The sequence below is a fragment of the Homo sapiens genome, chromosome 9 (assembly GCF_000001405.40).
Source record: "Homo sapiens chromosome 9, GRCh38.p14 Primary Assembly".
In the NCBI taxonomy this organism is placed as follows: domain Eukaryota; kingdom Metazoa; phylum Chordata; class Mammalia; order Primates; family Hominidae; genus Homo; species Homo sapiens.
Genome location: NC_000009.12, coordinates 117479453 through 117488641, shown reverse-complemented (window position 1 = coordinate 117488641; position 9189 = coordinate 117479453). Strand labels below are relative to the sequence as shown.

Below are 9189 nucleotides of genomic sequence, written 5' to 3'. Positions count from 1 at the left end.
CAGGAGGGTATAAAATCACCAGCAATACTTCATTCGAGGATCACAGGGCACTCTCATCCCCTTCTGACAAAATGCTGAACTTAATATAAAAATGCTGTCCCAACCACTTTAGATCAGAGAAATTGTTAAAAGGACTTTTTTCTTTCTCTTTTTTTTTTCCCATCTGAATTGTTATTTTTCCCTCCTCTTATCATTTTCTGCTTTGTTTCACACCCTCTGTAAATCAGGTTTCTTTTAAAAGAGCAAAAATTGAATTCTAGTTACAGACAAAAACTACAAATGAATTTCACACTGAATGAAGTCCAAGGGAAGGAAAAAAAAAAAAAACTGTTACTGGGTGACACTTTGAAGTTAACTTTTCCTCACCAAACCCCGGTTATCGTTTTCCTAAGGACCACGATGTCACCTACCCCTACTCCCAGCCCCCTTGCCCAACCTGTACCCTTGAAACTCCTAACTCTTAGCAGAAAAAGAATGCAGCCGTCACAGCTTCAGTCTTCTGGGGGAATGTAATTATCTAAACTGGCGCGGATCCAGAGCTCAGCTCCCCCATGAAAAGGATTTCTTATGAAAGATTAAGTGGTAACACATATGTCAACAGCACTCCCAGCTCTGGAGTAATTCTGAGCAAACAAGAAAATGGCAACAGTTCCTGTTTCCAATCTGGAAACCCTCCCCGGGTCTTTTTCCACCCCAGGTGTCACAGAGCTCTTCAATTTGTTCAGGTGTTGTATCATGGGAGCCAATAGACAGGTGAGGGGGACAGTACGTTTATCCACGGTGAGGCTTGAGGGGATGGGAGCCAGAAAAGCAGCTGGTTTGGAGGCAGCCCTATAAGGCTGGCTGTTTTAGGGACGCGGCACCGGCCACCAGGCCTGCGTAGCCCAGGCTCCCTCCCGTTTCCTGTAGCCCTCCGCCTTGGCAGGCATGGCAACACTGCCCTCTGCTGGGGCAGCACAGTCATCACACCCCACCCAAGCTCCCCGGGCCAAGGACGATGGCTGGGAATGTGATGGGGAGGAAAAGGCTTGACAGCCAAGCAACCGCTAGGGTCAGCTCTTGTGTGGCTGGAGTGTCAAGAGTCCCCGTCTCTGATGTGTGCCTTAACCCAGGGTTTTAGAATCGAACAGACAGATCTGCTATGTGACCCTGGGCATGATTTACCTTTCAGAGACTCAGAACAAAGAGAAAAGTCACCTACATTAGAGGACTATGGTGAATATGAAATGAATATTAGCTTTTCAGCAAGGGTGACCACACGTCCTGATTTCCCCAGGATGGTCTCAGTTTTTGCTTGTGGTCCTGATGTAATTGTGAACGGCACCCCTTTCATTCTCAAAAGGCAATAAATTATATGGTTAGCCTATCCAAAACGCAAGACACTCTGCCAGACATAGTAGTTACTCAGCAAAACCTAGTTTCTCTCTATTGTACTTGAATGCTGATCTTCTGTGAATGCAGATAAAGGGACAGGTGAGGCAGTTTCCTTTCCCTTTACTTCTATGGGGTAAACTGTACACTAGCTTTTCTGCATCCAGCAAAGAAAGCAGTATGGCAGTGTATGGAAAAATCAATAGTGAAGAGGGTAGGAGTCATAGGAAGATAAACCAAGCCAACAAATTTCAGCAGAATCCTAAGCAAGCCCCTTCGTCCTCTGTCCTGCTGTCTCCCACGTATGAGGAGTGATCACCTTTGCTTTTCCTTTTTTGTAGGACTGCGGCAAGGCCCAAATGCAGCAATGGGTATGAAAATGCAGTCATAGGCAGAAGCAAGGTATCATTATCTCATTTTTGATGCATACCAACTATCCACAATTGGATATTTTCTAGAGATACTTCTCTGAAAAAGATGCAGAAGTTCAGCATGTATAGCCCCATAGCTATATAATATACATTCATTTATGTCTTCCAAGCCTAAGAAATGTGGGGAATTATTGAAATGTCTACCACTGTGATAGCTCAAATCAGTGACAATGGCCAAATTTTGTTGCATCAATGTCCCTGAGGGGAAGCTGGCACCAATGCCAGGATAGCAGCTGATCTGCGTGTCTATTTACATAAATTTGCATTGGTGTGATGTTGAAAACTAAATGCCAATATTAAGGAAAATCGTTTTCTCCCAGACTAAGTCATCTCAGCAGAGCACAGTAGCAAGGAATACAGGCTCTGGAACCTGGCCTGCTACCCTCTATTTGTGTGACCTTGAAAGTTATAACCTCTTGTGTTGTATTTCCTTATCTAGAAATGGGAATAATGATAGCACTGACCACAGAAGGTTGGTGCAAGGGTTAAATAAGTTAATGTGTATGAAGGGTTTAGAGCATCACTTGACCTATTAAGTGCTGTGATATTAGCTGCTATTATTAACTCACACCCCATCCATTGTCCCTCACCATCAGTTTTTGTAACGCAGCCTCTGCTTTTTCTTCTATAAATCATAAAATTTAGAAATTTAGAGCTGGGAGGGATCTCAGAACATCTAATCAGTCACTTTTAGACTTTTATTTTATTCCTTTTAAAATAACTATGGAGCACTTTTTGAAAATAAAAGCTTACACGGAAACCCAGCATGGGGAACCATAGTAGCGTTGCAGTTAAGAAAATGGGCTTTGCAGATAGACAGGTCTGATTTCTAGTTCAAAGCTGCTTATTAGCCTTCTAACTCAGGGCAAGTGATTTACCTTGGCATTAAGCCTTCATTTCATAAAGTGTAAAATAGCAATCGTAATTGTAAATATTTCATAAGATTGTTATAAAGTTAAATGACTTCACACTTATTGAGTGTTTAGTGCAATGCCTGGCACATAATAAAGACCCAATAATTACATTAAATTCTTATGACTTTAATAAGTGAAATAGATACAGGAGAGCCAATCCAGCTGAAGCAGAGGAGAAGACATGGACCCCATGAAAGGCTCCCAGGGAACTTCTAGGACTCTGCAAAGCACAACTTAAAAGCTCCTGATCTAAGCCAACATCTGGAAATCAGAGTCCAGGAAGTTCTCAGCCCTTAATGTTAATTAACACATTCCTTCATCTCTAGTCGTTGTAATTGTTCTAATTCTGCCACTGTCCCCTACTGGTCATGTGATTGCTCTTCTTTTCCTTTTTCTTAAAGTTACAGCCCTGAGACAGTCTCTTTGGTTTAAACACCTTTTTCTAGGCCTGATTAAGCTGAGCAAGATTGTGTGGCATCCCCTGTGGTTGGCTCCCAATGGGGGTGAAAGTATCATGAACTTGCATTTCTAACATCTTCTGTTCCCTTCCTGTGCCTTTGACAGCTCACAGCCGGAGGGGGAGTGAGTCATTTGGTTAAAAATAAAAATACTACCATCTTTTCTCTAATGGCTTTGTTCATGATCACTGCAGGCTGGCACTGATATGTATTCTAAGCAGCCAGGGATAGCCAGTGGGCAGCCTGGGAACCTAGCTGGATTGCCTAAAACCAAAGTTTTGTCATCTCCTTTACTTTGCTGAAACACGGGGATTCAGCCATCTCTACCTTGGCTGGGCTACATTAGCATGGGGTGGATGGAATAGATGGTCAGCCTTCAGAAGAGGGGAACAGTGATGAACCCAAGAGTCACTTAGAGGAGAGAAGGTAAGATTCATAGCCCACAAGAGGGTAGCCCAATCCCTTCATTTTACTGAGACCCAGAAATGGAGCGTTACTTATCTAAGGTCACTTAAGCTGAGAGTTGGAGAAGGAAGCCATGGATTCAAGGCTTCTGTCTATAACAATTACAATGACTATTGCTCTTATTTCTACTTGCTTTTCCCAGCAGTATGTTAAATGTTTTATGTTGTTTGCCTCATTCCATGATTAACACAATTCTATGAGGTAGGTATTATTTTCCTCATTTTACAGATAAGAAAACTGAAGTTTAACAAGGTAAAGTGACTTGCCTAAGTTCCACTGACTAGTACATGGTAAAGAAGTGATAAAATAAGTTCATTTAGGTCCAGTGCCTAGGTTTTCAATCATTGAATCCTCAAAGTTTAGGGAGTGGGGAGTGTATTTATTAGCATGTGTATGTGCTAAGAGAGCAGCAACAGTGTCCTATTCATTATTAAATCCCCAATTTTTTTTTTTTTCTGAGACAGGGTCTCTCTCTGTCGCCCACACTCGAGTTCAGTGACACAATCTCCACTCACTACAACCTCCACCTCCTGGATTCAAGCGATTTTCCTGCCTCGGCCTCTCAAGTAGCTGGGATTATAGGCTTGTACCACCATGCCCAGCTAATATTTTGTATTTTTAGTAGAAACAGGGTTTCACCATGTTGGCCAGGCTGGTCTGGAACTCCTGACCTCAGATGATCTGCCCACTTCAGCCTCCCAAAGTGCTGGGGTTATAGGCATGAGCCACCATGCCCAGCCTAAATCCTCAATTCTTAACAAAATTCCTAAACAGGAACAGGCACCCCATGAGGATTAAGTCTATGTGTTATAACCATAATTTTTGGCTCCATTAGAATCTGGGTGTTGCCCCACCCCCCCGCCCACTTCTAATTAGGATGTTAGTGACTACTATACGACCTTGGTCAACTCTGCCAGAGGACAACTTCCTGTGGCCAGTTTGGGATAACATCTGTTTTCTTTCCCCATCAGACACTATGTACCTGACTTATGCACAGGCTAGTGAGAAGCATTAATGTTGGAACTGAAATGGAAGTTAGTGAAGCCATGACATGTGTCCTGATTTCACCATGTGACTTTGGAGAAGTCACTCATTTTTGCTGAACCTTGATTCACTCAGCTGTAAGGAAATCAGATCATTTGCAAGAACCCCATTCAACAATTGCTTGATCCAAGCATGATGTAAAGCCAGGTTTCTCAAGCTCAGCATGATAGAAGTTTTGAGCCAAATAATTCTTTTTAAGGAGATCTGTGCATTGCAGAAAGCTTAGCAACCTCCTCAGCCTCTGTGAGAGGCCAGTAGTTCTTCCCCAGTTGTGACAAATAAAAACATCTCCATACATTGTCAGATGCCTTCTAGAGAGCAGAGGGCAAACCCTCTGGTGTGAAGTGACCTGGGTTTTGTCTTGGCTTTTTCAGCATCTATCTCAATTTCCTTACAGCTCCCTTGCCTTCTCTGGGCCTGAGTTCTCACTTGAAAAAAAAGGGACTTATTCTATTTGGCCAGGATGATTGAGCCATGAACATGCTCCAGTTGTGGTCTTTTCCTGTTTGTGCTGAGGATGGAGGTAATGATCAGTTGAAAGAATTGGTGCTAAGTGCTTCGCTACAGGTATACGACCATCAGAATCCAGTATGTGTGCTAAGGGCAGGGTGGGAGCTTGGAGAAAGTATTATGTTCACGATATTTGTTAAACCTCATAAATCTTGTCTAAAACCCTAGGAAAATCGCATAAGCCCTGTTTCACACATTCCTTTCCTAGATGCCCACAGTCCAAATCCTTTACCATCATATTTGCAATGTCTATGATTTGAACTCTGCCTAACTCCTATTCTTCTAGATAGGTAGATAGGTAAGTAGATAGATAGAAAGATTGAGAGAGAGAGAGAGACAGAAAGAGAGAGAGAGAGAGAAATGAATAGACATGGGCAAATATCTATGTCTATCCAATAGGAGATATATACATAATAATGGTGATACAGATAAATATGAGATAGATACATGGTTGGATGGATAGATAGATAGATAGATACATAGATAGATAGAGGTAAAGAGATCCTATCAGTTCTTTTTCTCTGAAGAACCCTGACTAGTAAAATATATTAATCATCATCATTATTATCACTGTTGTTCACAGAGCATCCAGTCAGCTAAATATATATTCGAGAAAATGTGCTAGACTCTAGAATCAGATATCATTTCTCAGATGACATAGGGACTTCAGTTCTGCCTGTTTCTGTTCTGTGCTGTAAGCTCCTTCTTTGGAAATGGCCATAGTAACGCCTCCTCCCTCTGCCTCAGGCATTCTGCTGAGTCTCTCCAGAGGTAAGAGATGTAGAAGCTCTTTCTAAGCTCAGAAGTCACTCCTCCTTTGAAAAGGATGGTTATCTATGGCAAAATCAGGGAGACAATCACCAGTTCTGTAGCCAGGCTTTTGGCCTGTTTTGCCCACTGCTATACACTCTTTGCCCTGGGCAGGGCCATTATGGTTGAATAAATGAAAAATCCTACATTTCCAATGGCCAGTTTGGAATGTCAGGATAACTGTTATCCATGTCCACATTGACTAGATAGATAAACATCACATTATGTGAGAAAGTCAAACATATCCAAAGTTGGAGAATGATTTTTCGATGAGTTCTTCTGGAACAATTGTTTTTCAGCTTTCATTTGAGGAGCAGAACACTCTGACCAAACAAAATCTTATGCAAAAGCACACTATACAAAACAGGAGCTGTTTTGGTTGAAGTGTGTGCATGGTGACAGGGTTACAGATCCCAAACACTCCCTACATACCCTGTGCCTTCTTCTACTTCCTCTTCCTTTTCTTTTAGCTTTCAAGGCTATCTTTAAAACCTTAAGTACTTGGAAAACACATTTGGGAAATCATTGGCCATAAATATTTTAGACAGAGGTTGGGTGTCATTAAAACAGCTCTATGCAGGGACCCCGACAGTTCCAGCTTAGCCTTCTTTCCGCCTTAGACTCTGTATGAGACCTCTGGCAAGTACTTTTCTTCTCTGTGTCTCAGTTTTCCCATCTCTAAAGTGAGAGAGGTAGAATGATATTGAATGGTCCAACCAGGCATCAGTCTAGCACAGATCAGACACTCATGTGATCTATCTATTTCTCCCTCCATTTTGTCTTACTATGTTGTCCCAATCTCCTCTTCCTGAAGAAATCAGGGGCCCAGGGGGAACCCAATAGCATGGAGCATCAGCTGCAGCAACTGAGCAATGTGATGGTGTCACCGTGTCTCCTCAAGCTCTTGAATGGTACAATCAGTTGTCTGTACGAAATGACCAGAAATCAAAAGACTCAATGTTGTGATCACAGCTGGGACCCCATGTTTGGCTTGAGCAGGATAGAGGCACAATCCTGGGGCCACATTCCAGACAATTAAAGAAAATATCAGCATCTATTTACCAACGAATTACAGAACATCATTCAAATGTCATCAGTCCAGAACCCACTCCCTGGCTCTCACAGAGCTCTGACTAAGAGCAGTCTTCTTTTCCCTCTTCTCATTACCTCGCTAATATTAGATCAACATCTTATAACTTCTCATGGCATAAGCTTGGTGTGAGGGAACTTGCTTTCTCAGGATGCCCTTCTCTGCCACATAAACATACACGCCTCTTTGACTGCTGTTTTGTGAATCAAAATTTCCATCTTCTTACTTTTTTTCTGCATCCTGGTGTCAAGAAGTCAGAAAACCTAATTTCTAAATCTTGCTTCTGCCATTTCTCCTTGGGATGATCTTCAACAACTTTTCCAAACCTTGGATTTCATGCTGATTCTTCCTTCTTGATCAGGTTTTTAAGTTTTTGAGATAATCAAATTATCATCTGAATTTTAAAGTCTATTATGAACTACAAAAACATCATTCGAATGTTAGTATTATTATGGCCTAAATGGCTATTTACATTTTACAAAATGCTTTCAGCACCAGAGTTATTTCCCAAATTGGGTGCCAGGAAAATCTAGTTTCTTAAAATAAGACTGCTCTAGGGAAGAAAGTTATAAAGCATTCATGGAAAAAAATAAAATTGGATTTTCAATTATGCAAATCTCTTTATGCAGACCTTCTCAGTGCCTTTAAGCTAGAAATGTTATCTACTCACAGAAGCTGTTATTCCTCTCCCATGAATCACTTATTTTCACTTTTTAAAATTAATAAGCTAGAAATATTATCTACTCCCAGAAGCTGTTATTCTTCTCCCAGGAATCGCTTATTTTCATTTTTTAAAATTTAGCAGGAAGTAAAATTTGAGAATCACTGATCCTATATTACCTTCTATAAAGGAAATTACAATATAACAACTGCTTTACAACTGAAAAAATTAAGGCTGGAAAGTGTAAAAAGGTAAGTAAGGCACAGAGAAATTAGGTTGCTACATTTTTTTCTAGACTTTGTAGTTGTTATTCTTTGTATGTTCTCTCTCTCTCTCTCTCTCTCTCTCTCTCCTCTCTTTCTTTCTCTCTGTCTCAGAATCACTTGGTATCCTGCCAGAAATGCACATTCTCATGCCACTCCCAAGACCTGCTGAATCAGAAACTTTCGGTGGATCTCAGCAATTTGTATTTTAACAAGCTCTCCAAAGTGATTCTGATGCATACTAACATTTCAGAATCACTTGATTCTGAATCACTGATTTACTTACTTTACTAATAGTGCCCTCTTTCAATTCCGTATGTCCCAGTCTGGACAATAAATTGGATGGTCACACTAAATATAGCTTTGCTGGCTAAAATTTGTGTTAAATAATTCTGTTTCTTTGGTAAACAGCAGCACACACACACACATACAAACACACACACACAAACACACACACACATTCACACATGCACATACCTGGACACCCCAGCCTCCTCCCCTGGGATGCTCTGGACCTCTGGACGATCCAACTACTAAAGAGTTGATGCCTGGTACTCCTGAGCATCCAGATCCTTACTAGCCAGGGTCCTTTCTGAAGGATTGATGCTCTTAAAATGACAATTAAATGCTTACTGTGCCAAGTGCTTAACATAGTACCTACTATACAGAAAGAGTCTCATAAATGGTAGTTATTTAATTTTCTACTTCTGATATCTTCTTTATGGCAGAAACTGTGGTAGGTTTTGGACATTAAATAGTTATTAAATAGAACACGAGAGCATGATCCTCATAAAGCTTATGATCTGGTTGGAGATACTGACTGCAAATAATTGTGATCCAGGGTGACAGATGCTTTTGTTGGACAATTAGGGTGGTGTAGCAGCACGGGGTGGGAGGGTGCAGTCTGTGTGCAAAATCGATGTCATGTGGAAAAATCCAGATGAGAAAGAACATGACACATTGGGAAAACCACAAGTGGCTCAGATTGGCTGGAGCTTACTATGGTGGTCGTAAAAAAAAATGGGGAAGAATAATGATGATAAGAGGTGAGTCTGGAGTTGTTGGCAAGGGCCTGATCAGAGGCTTTTTGAGCCATGTTGGGGAGTTTAAGAATTCTTTTGAGGGAAATAGGGAGCCACGGAGGGGTTCTCAATGGGGGGGGGCTATTTAGA

At 41.4% G+C, this 9189-nt stretch overlaps 1 annotated feature.

The window, feature by feature from the left end:
- Window positions 700–859: an enhancer, noted in NCBI's record as "active region_28886". NCBI's record gives its function as "activates an Ori minimal core promoter by ATAC-STARR-seq in GM12878 lymphoblastoid cells {active_cell/tissue: GM12878}" and the evidence as "EXISTENCE:reporter gene assay evidence [ECO:0000049][PMID:35858748]".